Genomic DNA, 13,360 nt, shown 5'->3' with positions numbered 1-13,360 from the left:
ACCTATGTGTTCAGTGCCTCCTTTGTGTGGATGTATTTGCAGCAAATCTGAAATTTAAACAGAAAATATCATACCGAGACACAAAAGTTCAATTGAGAAATCCACAGTCTATCACTAAATTGCAAGGCTAGCAAGAGAATGTTTTGTGTGTGCGTGTGTGTGTGTATGTGTGTGTGTGTTTGCTTTGTTTTGATTTTTTTTTAATAGCAATCATTTTTATCTATGGACTTTTTCACAATCTGTTTCGATTAACTGGTTTAGGGGTGACTATTAACTCATGAGTGATCTCTGTCCTCCACGTGGTTCGTTGCACACAATTCTCCTAAGTAATATGAGTAAAATATTTACACTAAAAATAAGAGGTTTTAATTAACGTTTTGTACACAGACTTGGTTTATAGGATAGTTCTGCGAGGAGATTGGTAATATTGTTCTAAAGTGGGGTTCCCCTCTATCCTCACACAAACGAAGGCTCAATCTATCAGTGGAAATTCTGTAACTTGGAGTCCAAAGAGAAAAATGATGTTGAGTTTCCCACGTCATAACAAAAGCTCCAGATTAAGTATTATAGAGCTGCTATCATGTATATAGAATTTGAAAATCATTTTGCTTTTAATTCAACAAACATTGATTGAGTTCCTAACTAAGTGTTGGGACCTGAGGACACAAATATGACTTAAATTCAATGTCCGTTCTTTAGGAGAATGTAGGTTTATAGGGGAGTGTATTGGTCACCTACAGCCATAATAATGCTGTTTAATAAACAATAATAGCTCAGTTATATAAAACAGGAAGAAAATGATTGTTACTGGACCTTGGGGGGCTGGCTTGTTAGCTCTGCTCATCTCACCTGGCCTTATCAAGTGTCTAAAAGTCCACAAAGTTGTTGGGGGGGGGTGGAAATGGGATGAGTGGGCTCTAGTCTCATTTTTCAGGGAGCTGGCCTGGACATGCTCTCATGGCAAGAGCAGAGATGCAAGAGACAGGGCAAGCCCAGTAGCATCAGGGCTTTGCAAACTTCTGCTTGCATCACATCTGCTAACATCTTATTGGCCAAGGATGACATTGCCGAGTCTAAGTTAGAGTGGAAAGGTGTTTCAAAGTTATGTAGCAAAGGGTGTGGGCGCAGGCAGGGGTGAGAATGGGAGCTGTTTTTGCAATTTGCCTTTCAGGGACAGATAAGATATATACCATCATTTCATAAATATGTATAATGGAAGAGCAGGCAAGGCCCCCTGAGATGTTGAGGACAAAGCCATGCACCCTGGGAGATGCAAAAAGGACTTTCTAGGGAGGATAATGTCTCCACAGAGTTTGGAGGCTGGTCAGGGAGCTCATCAGAAAGATCAGGGGAGGCAGGTGTTATAGGCCATGGGAAGACAGCCAAAACAGGAAGGCATAAAATAATGCCCACTAATATTGCAGGAGTGCACAGAGTGAGGTGATGGGGGAGATGGAAGGTGCTGGATGAGACTGAGAGGTTAGGTGCTTTCTGATGTTCGAAGATGGAAGACATCGTGTGCCACTTCTGCAAGCCTTAGGCTTCATGTGGGAGATAATGAATACATGAGACCCCACTGATAAAACCTCCTTTATCAATGTGTATATGTGTAGGCCCGCAAGACGGCAGGAGAAACAGCCCATGTGTCTTCCTGTTGTAGCAAGAGATTTCCATAACTGATCTAGTAGAAATGCAGGCAAGCCAAATGATAGATACTAGAGCCTGGGAAGGGTACATGGGTGGGGCAGTGGGGGAGATGAAGAGGTTGGTTAATGGGTACAAACATACAGTTAGATAGAAGGAATATGTTCTAATATTTGATAACAGTGTAGGGTAACTATAGTCAATGATAATGTATTGTATATTTCAAAATAGCTAGAAGACAGGACTTAAAATGTTCCCATTGCACATAAATGATAAACACTCCAAGTGATGGATACCGTAAATACCCTGATTTGATCATCACACATTCTATGCATGTAACGAAATACCACATTTACCCCATAAATATGTACACATATTATGTACCAATAAAAAAAATCCCAGTTTCCTCTTCCTTTATACCACTCTGAAAGCATCCACTAATAAGAAGCCCTTCTGTGAATGTGATAAAAAGATTTCAATGAAAAGGGATTGTCTCTTTAAGAAAGTGGTTGGGGCAGTGCTTTTGGGTTTGAAAGTCTGGAGACAGTGGCGTTAGATTGATTAGGTGTGTACATGTTGGCTGAGAAGGCTGTAGAAAGGCGCATGGAAGTGTTTGACAAGATGAAAGACTATTCAACATATTAGACAGCTGCTTGAGTGAAGAGATCTATAATGGTGCAGTAAAATATACTCACCAGTAAATGATACCTTCATGGCAAAAGCTACTATAAGCTAGGTCACACAATTTTTGTCTGGCATGACAGGCTCAACGAAATGAAGTTTGAAAGCAGAGTTTCATGCATATGCCTCGTAACAGATGGGTAGCGACCTAAGGCAGAGACCCACATTTGGTGGTCACTAGTGTAAGGGTCTTTCTGTGGGACTGTAGAAAAATGAGGCTTTCCAGGAAAGATGCGTGGGGTTCCAAGAAACAGGAAAGGCTTTCGAGTCAGACAGCCACAGGTAGCAACACTGGCCCCAGGTTACCCTCTCACTAGCCTTGGACAAAGTACTCAGCCTTCCCGACTCCCAATTTTTACTCATCTGTAAAGTGAGATAATAGCAAGTACTTCAAGGGAAATGGATTGCACAGTGCCTAACACAGGACAGACATCATCACCTGCTCTCATTGTGAGCACTGTACGTGGGAAGCCCTTGGTCCTGGTGTTCTAATGGCGAGTCTCTCACTTGTCTCCCTCCCTGGATAGAGTGGGTCTTCCCAGAGCTAGGTGGTTATCAGCAGACAACACTGGCACAGGGCTGACACATTAGCAGCACCCAAGTCAGTCGGTTGATAGAAGAAAGAAAAGCTGCCAGGGTATATGCCCCATCCATCTGTGGGTCTCCATCTCTGCTGCTACCAAACCTGTCCAAACCCCATCATCTGTCTTATAGGCTCTGGCATCAGATGTCTACTTGGTGTATAGCTTCCCATCCCACCTCTTTAGAACCTGCCCTCCATACCCTATCTAAAGAGCTCCTTGAAAAAAAAAAAATCCCTCCAAGTACATTATTGCCCTACTAAAGCCAGGGCATGATTTCCCAGTGTGGATGGACTAAAATCCAAACTCCTCACTGTGGTCTAGAGGGCCTGACACACCCTGGTCCTCCCCTATGTCTCTGATCTTATTTCACACTCTTCTCTTCCTCACTTACTCTCTCCCCACTAAATTTCTTTGTTCCTTAAACACAACCCATTCGTTTCTTCCTCGGGGTCTTTGCACCTCTCTTCCTTCTGCTTGGAATGCTCATCTTCCTGAGTTTCCCATGTTTGCACCCTTCTCATTTGACAGCTCTCAGCTTCACTGTCACCTCTTCCAAGACAGAGGCTTTCCCTGAGCATCCTACAGGTCCAGCATCCCCATAGCCAGGTTCTCTCTATGTTTTCACAGCATTTGTCACTTTTTGAAGTAACCTCATTTGGCCCTTGCCTACTTGCTTCTTTGCCGCCCCCCGGGCTGGATTGATGGGTTCATTGCCACCAGTATCCTCTAGCACCGCATGGGCGTGGTCCACTAACCAGCAATATCTGCCTGGGCCCTGGAGTTTGATAAGAATGTTGCATATTGTAATCCCCACCCTACCAAATCAGAATCTGTATCTTCTTATCCCTGGGAGCTCACATGCACTTCATAGTTTGCAAATCAATGTCCTAACCTGGCACCTTGAAAACAGGTGATCAATAAACACATACTGAATGAATGAATGGTGTCACTTTGCATTTGAGACAAAGATACGAATGTTAAATATCCCATGTCAGTAAATTTTATGGTGAGACTTCTGGGCCTACAGAAATTTAGTTCACATAATGAATAAAAAGAATTCTCCCAGTAATATAAATGCATCGGTCATTGATCATTGACTATGTTGAAAAACCAAACCAAAGACCCTCTGAAGTGTCTAGAAGTCTGTGGTTTCATAACAGACATGTGCAGTGTCCTATTATCATGGAAAGGCTTATCATTGCTCCTGGAAGACTTATTCCTTCTTCTGATGCAATTTTAAATATTATGTACACTGCTCTAATTGGTAATTATTGGAAGCTGAACAGTATTCAGTTATGACCATACCAGCAACGTAACTAGGGGTTTTGATCTTTTTTTAACAAACACATTAGAGCAAAGGCTTCAGAATGTATGAAGTCCTTCAAATTACCTACCTTGGTTTAATATTAAGTCAAAAAAGCTGAATTAAACATGTGTCTTTCCTATGATTACTACTATGTAAAAGTGCTGCATGTGTATACGAAGGCTCTGGGAAGGACCATAGACCAAAAAAGACAACAGTTTGATTTTTAGAAGAGACTGTAGCTCAGTTGTTAATTCTTGTTCTTTTGCTTGCCACTGCTATTAAAAAATGCTTTTCAATAAATAAAGGTAAGAAGAAGTATATTACTAGAAATTACAGTGGTGATAAAACCGATGCATTAAACAGTTATACAAATGTTTGTCTGTTGGCGCAAGAGAAGCCAAAGCTTTTGAAGTTGCCTCACTGGGTTCAAATCCCAGTCCACCCCTTCCAGCTGGGTGACTGGAGCTACTTTTTATTAACCCTCCAAGACCTTGAAGCCTTACAGAATAAGGATAAAACACCCTCACTTGCAGACTTGTTTTTATATAAAGTTCTAAGCACGTAGTTGGGATTCAAAGCGTTGGTGCTCTTTTCTCTTTGCATGTAAAAGAACGCATAAGGTTCCTGCAAAATGTCTCAAAGACTTGCAACAAACAAGCCCTGCTCTGCTGGTATCTGCATATGCACTAGTGGCAGGCAGCAAGGAGGTATGAATAAAACTGTAGAAGTTGGAAGCCATTTCAAAGTTGTATTGAAGACCAATAAATATCTAAAAATAGTTTATGCATTCAAACACACTAAAGTAGTTGAAAGAACATACACTCCTTATAGTAGTGCCTATTTCCAGCCTTAATAATGCATTTTATTTTATATCACTTTATTTTATCTTATCTGTTTTTACTTATTTTGTTTTACTTCATTTTATTTTACTTTGTTTTCTTTTACAACTACGTCTGTATGTCCTACTCTGCCTTGGATGCTGTTCTCAGCACTTTACAAACACTAGCTCATCTATCCTCACAACAATCTCATAAGGTGCCACAATTATTGGCTCCATTTTACAAATAAAGAAACTAAAGGACAAAGAAGTAAGGTTGTCTGCAGAGTGCATTTGCTGTTGGCCCAAGATGGTTTTAGGCATTGTAATCATACAGTCTAATTTACTAGTTAGCTCAGAACAATGTAGAACACTTTTTAGAAGCTTAATCCACTCTGCAAGAAGATGGCACGTGCCACACAGGCTGTTCTTACAACAGCATCAGAGATTGCAGCAATTTTTTTTTTTTTTTTGAGACAGAATATTGTTGTTTCTCCCAGTTTGGTTTACAACGGCGCCATCTCAGCTCACTGCAACCTCCGCCTCCTGAGTTCAAGGAATTATCCTGCCTCAGCCTCCCTAGTAGCTGGGATTACAGGCACATGCCACCACGCCCAGCTAATTTTTGTATTGTTGGTAGGGACAGGGTTTCACCATGTTGGCCAGGCTGGTCTCAAACTCCTGACGTCAAGTGATCCGCCTGCCTCGGCCTCCCAAAGTGCTGGGATTACAGGCACGAGCCACTGTGCCCAGCCACTGCAGCAATTTTAAAGTGGAATTGAGCGTCTTTTTTGTCTTGTAGAAAAAGGACAACTAGCTGAAGAGATTAAAAAAAAAAAAAAGATGTTTGCCGTCTGATATACCACTTAACAATTTGCACCACTGGGCAAGCGGCTTCAATGCAGGAAAAAAGCACCAAGCCCAGAGACTGAAGAATAGTTGTGTGACTTAAATCATTTACACTGTCCGACTTTCAATTTCCTCATAATTAAACTGAAGGGTATGACCTTTACCTCCTGGGGGCTAAAGGAAATTAAGCTTATAACAGCTCCTGACACACAGTAGGGACACACCAAAAATGCTGGTTGGATTCAAAATTAAAGCTGAAATGATCAATGCATGCACAATGGATATATGGAACAGAGATTTGTTTTCCTGGAATGGGACTCTGCCAACAAATTGAAAAACACACCACCAATCTGAGACATGCACGATATTCATGTTCTTGTGCTGTTTGGTCCTGAATTTTTTATCTCCCAAGAATAATGACCTCAGCCCTGGGCATTTCCAGGGGATTAATGACCAGCGGAATTTAATGACCCCAGCTCCAGCCTAGAGTCATCCCACATTCCCTGGGTACTCATTAATCCCAGGTAGGCCAGCAGGCTTTCTTCTCACTGCAAAAATCATGCCCAAGTTCAGCCCTGCTGCAAGTAGAGGCACCACTGGGACTCCACACCTCTGCTTCCGTCCCCAGCCTCCTCCAAGCTCCAGCCACTGGCTCATTTATTTACAGGGGCAGCCAGACAGTAATTAAAATATGCTAAGGAATGCTCCTGTTCTAGGCAGCTGTATCCAATGATGAGCTGCTTCAAATACATGTGTCCCTCCCGCCCGCAACCCCTCACCTTGAACACACACATATTAACTTTTAGGGCGGCCATTCGGCATTTCTTCACATTTTGTGTAGAAGGATTTCATGAGATTTTAATGAGTTTCTACCACTGCAAAAGAAAGCTCACAAAGGATCCATGCAAATTGCTTTGTCTTCTGCAGCAATCCTAGAATGGTGACATGCTTCAATATTTGGTTTCTGTAAGGATATATAGATATATGCTGATGTATGCACACTGGCCCCTAAGCATTTCTGCTTGCAAGATGCAAGGTGAAACTGTGCTGCCAGCACACTGTGATACGTGGGATAAAACCCTGGAATAGATTTCCCCAATAGACATCTTCTGCTGGCTGGACTATAGACTGGTCTCTGTCACCAGCACTTTTACGCACCACCTACTTTGATACTTCGTTTTTTCATCTGTCCCGTGGGTGAAGGATAGTAACTATAATGTCTCTAAGATTACTCTCTGAAAATAGAAAATTGAAACAAACTTAATTCCTATTAATGAGCTTATAGGGAGTTTAAAAGTCACTGTCCTTCTTCCCAGCCATCAAATCAGAGAAAAAGGAAGTGATGTTTATAAAGTGACCAACCTATATCAAGGGCTCTCATTCCCCTAACAGTCTTTGAGATTGTCTTCATTCTTCGTATTTTGCTGATAAGGAGACTAAAGTGCATGAAGGATAAACAAGTGAACTAATCAACAAGTGGTATGTGGAGAGAGGAACCCCAGAGACCGCTCTCCCCTTCCTCTGTACGGCCTGGGAGGACTTGCATGCTGAAATCAGAGGCCTGGTGGTTAAAGTCTGGGGTCCTGAGCCAGGCCTGCCTAGTCCTGTCATTTGCTCTTCAATGTGGAGGATCAAGGGCAGTTGGATGAAGGAGGGCCAGAGTGAGAACACCAAGACATCCCATCCAGGGGTAGAAGAGATGGCCAGGAGGAAGAAATCAAAGCACAGGAATCCCACCAAGTGGCCTCAGCTGAAGATGTGCTGTTTCACAAATGCCTCTATATTGATAGGTGTGGGCATGTGTGTGTATACGCACAGCTGTGCATGTACACAGTGTACCCACATATGTGCAAATCTAGCTTCCAGATCTATCTATCTATCTATCTATCTATCTATCTATCTATCTATGTATCTATCTTCTATCACTTATCTAATCTATCTACCTACCTACCTATCTGATCTGTCTATTGGTAGACAGATAGATAAACTTTTCTACTAAAACAAATTACACATTCCATTTATCATTTAAAGCCTCTCTAATTCAAAACCTGTATATCAAAGACGGCCAACTTCCCTTTCAAACTATTTTTGTTATAAGTCTTTTTTTCATTTCACAGTGAAAGCAGTTTTTTCATCTTATATATAACACATTTTTGTTCAAAAAAGTTCATATATTTCACAAAGGGTTAAATAAAAGGGTTAAAATTAAAAGTAAAAATCACCCAATATTCCACCAGCCAGGACACAACCCTCCCTCCAGGGGAGATGAAGGGAGGAAACACGGCTTCAGTATACATCCAATCAAAACCCTGTACTTAGAGTTAGCTGGAACTAACTGTGGGGGCAGGGACCATGTCCTGCCTTTCTCTGAATCTCCAGTGCCTGCCTAGGACTGAGCATGGCTGAGCAGCATATGTGTTGCTGGGCAAAGGAAAGGCCACGACTCAGGAAAGAAGCCAAGGAGCACGCATTGCATGATGTATGATTGGTGGCTCCTCAGGGGTGTCCATTTTCAAGCTACGAACTACAACCCTTTGGGTTGGGTGGTATTAACAACATAGCAGGTAGCTTCTGGGTGACTTTATAATGTCAGTTCAATTAAGAAAAGAAAATAAGTCTTCATCATAATGATAAAAACATAAGCATCCATTTATAGATGTTAGCATGTTTCATACTTATGATCTCCTTTGAGTTTCATGAGAACCTCGTGTGACAGATATCACTGGTCTCATTTTTCAGGTGGGTTGCTTTGGACCCAATGTTTGTGTCACCCCAAAATTCATATGTTGAAATTTAATCCCCAATGTGATAGTACTAAAAGGTGGGGCCTTTAGGAGGTGATTAAGTCATGAAGCCTATCTTCATTAACGGGATCCATGCTCATAAAAGAGGCTTGATGGAGCTTCCTTGTCTCTTCCACCATGTGAGGACACACAGAAGGCACCCTCTATGAGAAACAGGTCCTCACCAGACACCCAGTCTGCCAGTGCTTTGACCTTGGACTCCCTGGCCTTCAGCACTGAGATCGATAAATGACTGCTGTGTATAAATGTCTTAGTCTAAGGTATCTTCTTACAGCAGCCCAAAAGGACTAAGACACGGGTAGGCAAAAGTTTAGAAAGGGTGGGTTACTTCCTCCGTGTCAAATACCTAGCAAGTTCTCAATGTTTGAGTTCAAGTCTACATGTCCTGGAGTCTCTTTCCTCCATGATGCACATCAATTTGTCACCACACAATAGACACAGTTTTTGGTCTCTTGCCTCCCAATTTCTTCTTCTCTTGTTATCTCCAAATTCAAAAAAAATCAGGAGTTAATACTACAGCAAGTTTCTCTGAATGTATTAAAACAACCCCTTTTAACTATTGACTTTAGAATGAAGGTGAAGGGGAACCGTTCGGGAATCAGAGCGTAGAAAGAGGGAGAAACACCTCCAAGGTCAAGCCGGGCACAGGCCTTTGTTCTTTCCAGTTCTTCCCGGCACCTCTCTCTACTCCTCCCATGTGCGCTTGCTGAGACCTTCTAGTTTCGTCCATCCCAAAGGCCTCCACTGCCACAAATTATAGATATTGTTTCACCGAGTCCTTGGATATATTTAAGTCATTGTTTGAAACACACACCGTCTCCTGTTGTTTCTGCAAAAATGTTCGGTCGATTAAGCAACAATAACGTGAATTATTCTATGAGTATCTCGGGATGGTTGCCTGGAATACTGTATATAAATTCCATTGTACTGGAGTCAATTAAACCTCATTGTCTATAAAAGTCACCTGTCTGACTTAGGGAAAAGTGGGCATGAATGTAAAAGACCCAACAACGTGTTGAAACTGAAATCTAACCAAGTTAATTTATGCTGCTCGGCTTGGAAGGAGAAAGAGCAGGCAGTTTTTGGGGGGCCTGGAAGCTGTGTGGGGATTTTCTGAGACCATTCTGATTACTCAGGGTTGCTGATGGGGGACGATGACACCTGAAGTTTAACCACCCCTGAAAACTAAGACAAGGAAGACAAAGAACACTTTTTTGACATTCTTGGCGCAAATGAAAGAAACTTGTCATTCCAACTTCACAAGACAGTGCTCAAAGATGAAATGTTCAACTCCACTGGGACAGCCATTTTTTTTTTGCTGTTATTACAGAAGAAAATTATAACCATAAAAATGTCCAATTTAGAAAAAAAGGTGCCACTTTAGTGTCATTTGCATAAAAGCTGTTACACACAAATTGTTATAAAGACAAATGTGTAGTACTCTCGTTGAAAATTGCTTATATCTCGGGTGCTTCGGCTCCAACGACATAAAGGCCTCTTCAGACTGAAATTCATTCTCAGGTAAATAAAGCTGAAAGTGAAATTTCACCTATTTGAAAGTACGTGAGTGGTTTTTCATGTTGTCTTAAACAGGTTTTGAGAGGCTGGGCCCTCTCCTCCTTTCACGGCTCACCCCCACCGCCTGGCGGGGCCTGGTGGCCCTCACAATACGGAGCACCTCCGAGGGCTTAGGCATTTTGTGCTGGAGCGAGTCAGAGTCCGGCTCCGTGGAGAACCAATAGGCCTTGCAGATACAGGCAGGGCAGGGGGCTTGCAGAGAGGAAAGCACTAACGACGCTCTTCTCTGAAAATTAACGTGCTGGTATACACCGTATCCTTCCATCACGGCCCACCTGCCTCATCAGAGCTCCCTGCCAGCAACTGCCCCGGTAGAATATCGCTCTCTCCATCACACGCTGACCATTGCCATGGGCAGCCGTATTAGGTTGGTGCAAACATAATTACCATTTTTGCCATTGAAAGTAATGGCAAAAACCGCAATGACGTTTGTACCAACCTATATGATTCCTTGAACTTAATGTCCCTTTCCCTTTTCCGGGGCTGCCCCCTCCTGCCGGGAATGATCTTCTGACTTATCCGGAAGAGCTGCAGTGTATTCCTCAGGAGTGTACACTCCAGTGACTGATTTTTTTTTTTTTTCCTTACAGCTCTTTGTCAGTTGCTTGCTCCTTCCCCTGCCCCCTCTACACAGATATTAATATTACTATCAATGAAATAAGTGAATAAGTAATGTTAATTGATGTTACTTATCACGCTTATTACTATGACTCATCCCCTGCCATCTCTCCTACGACCCTTTGCTATCTAAAGGCAGGACCTGTGTCTCGTGCATTTCCATATTCCAATTCCAGGGCCAAAACTCCCCAGAGTAGCCACTGGAAGGAGTTATGTTGAATGAATGGTGAACAGTTACATACTCAAATAATGGGTTGCAGGGTGAAAGAATACCCCATCTGGACTAACTAATTTGAGTCAGGGAACTTCAGAACAGTGGTCCCCAACCTCCAGGCCACCTACTGGTACTGGTGGCCTATTAGGGACTGAGCTGCACAGCAGTTGGTCCCCATCACTCTCATTACCACCTGAGCTCCGCCTCCTGTCAGATCAGCAGTGGCATTACATTCTCATAGAAGCACAAACTCCACTGTGAACTGCACATGTGAGGGGTCTAGGTTGTGCACTCCTTATGAGAATCTAATGCCTGACGATCTGTCACTGTCTCTTATCACCCCCAGATGGAACCATCTACTTGCAGGAAAACAAGCTCACGTCTCTCAGTGATTCTACATAATGGTGAGTTATATAATTATTTCATTATATTTTTACAATGTAATAATAATAGAAATAAAGTGCACAACAAATGTAATGAGCTTGAATCATCCTTAAGTCCTCCCCCACCTCCCCTGGTTCATGGAAAAATTGTCTTCCACAAAACCGGCTCCTGGTGCCAAAAAGGTTGGGGGCTGCTGCTTTAGAACATTATGAAAATCATTGTTGGTGTTTTGCTTTTGTTTTTGGAGGTTTTAGATTTCTTTTTAAATGAGAAGGTATTAAAAAAACGCTACTCATAAAGACTTCCTGATTCAAGCTCACATCAGTCCCTGTTATCATTGAGTTCCCATAAACAATGAAACTGACTTTTAATGAGCATCTACTATATGCCAGTGACTCCAATACAGACTTTATAATAAATATCAACCCTACAGGTACACATAAATACTAATTAATGATAGATAAGGTAACTGAACTTCAGAAGGGACATTTGGCAGATGACATGGACCTTGGAAGTAGAAAATCTAGGCTTTAAGCTTTTCAAGCATTCATGATAACATGCCTTATATTTATAGCAACTTACTGCAAGTAAGATGGGCTTTTTGCATCTCTCATTTCATTTACTCTTTATTCTCATCGCATGAGATAGGTCTAATTACACCCATTTTAGAGATGATGTGGAGAGTGTGGTATAAAAAGAGAAATGCTGGACTTAGAGAATCTGGTTTTGAAACTCAAATATGAAATTTACCAGCTGCTGAGAGGTCATTTCATTCTCACTTTGACTCAACTTCCTCTTCTATAAAATACCACTGGGAAGTCTCCTTCCGTGCCTGGTGACCAGGTCAGGACTTATGTTGAGAAGCTTCCGTATGCGCATGTTGGTAGAGAATTTAAAGTTTCCCAGAGTGAATGTATTAAAATAATTATTAATAGTAATAATAATTTCAACTTGCTTTCCAAATGACTCACTTCAGTTTCAGCTGAGAGAGGCAGAAGGAAGGCAAAGTTGGGAACTTGGAGGTCCCAGGAGGTTGCTGAGTTTCCGTTAGGAGTGGGAGTTGGATTCTGAATTCATGAGAAGTTTCCAGAGAAGCAGTGGCCAGGCCTCTGCACAGATGGTGGGGTACAAATGAGACAGTGGGGAGAGAGAACCTTCCTGATGTCCAAGCAGAAGGAGACAAAGAGGCCGGGCACAGTGGCTCATGCCTGTAATCCCAGCACTATGAGATGCTATGCCATGGCAAAAGAACCACTTGGGCCCAGGAGTCGGAGACCAGCCCTGTCAACATAGTGAGACCCCATCTCTACAGAAAAGAAAAACATTAGCCAGGCTTGGTGGCACACGCCTGTAGTCTCAGCTACTTGGGAAGCTAAGATGGGAGGCCAGCTTGAGCCTGGGAGGTCAAAGCTGCAGTGAGCTCTGATTGCACTACTGCACTCCAGCCTGGGTAGCAGAGCAAGACCCTGTCTCAAACAAACAAACAAACAAAATACAGAAGGAGACTAAAAAAAAAAAAAAAAAGGGATGTTAGTTCTCTGGTTCTCTGAACCACAGCAAGTGGTTTCCTGAATTACAATGTTTGCCTCTGTGTGTAAATCATTTAGATAAGGGCAAGCCATTTTTCCTTCTAATAGAAGGATAGTTCTCTTAATATATATATTCCTCTAACTGGTACTAGAAGTCAAAATATTCGATTAAACAATTGTTGGGGGAAAGGAAACTGGAAACTTAGATTTTTTTAAGTGGAAAGCTACAGGGAAGAAAAAACGTACTTTTTAACTAATGAAGATATTCTATACCTACCTGTTTTCAAAATGGCAGTTAAAAAAATAAATATTTTGTATGGTGTTTTGGGGTAGGTGAAACTTGTATCATTTC

At 42.1% G+C, this 13,360-nt stretch overlaps 1 long non-coding RNA gene across 1 annotated transcript in view; it reads right to left on the bottom strand.

The window, feature by feature from the left end:
* LINC02325 (long intergenic non-protein coding RNA 2325) overlaps positions 1–13,360 on the bottom strand; it is a 122,568-nt gene that overhangs the window by 24,330 nt on the left and 84,878 nt on the right. The gene's annotated exons all lie outside the window — the stretch shown is intronic.

This window comes from Homo sapiens, chromosome 14 (assembly GCF_000001405.40).
Source record: "Homo sapiens chromosome 14, GRCh38.p14 Primary Assembly".
NCBI lineage: Eukaryota > Metazoa > Chordata > Mammalia > Primates > Hominidae > Homo > Homo sapiens.
Note: the sequence above shows the minus strand (reverse complement) of the source record. Positions and strands in the feature narration are given on the sequence as shown.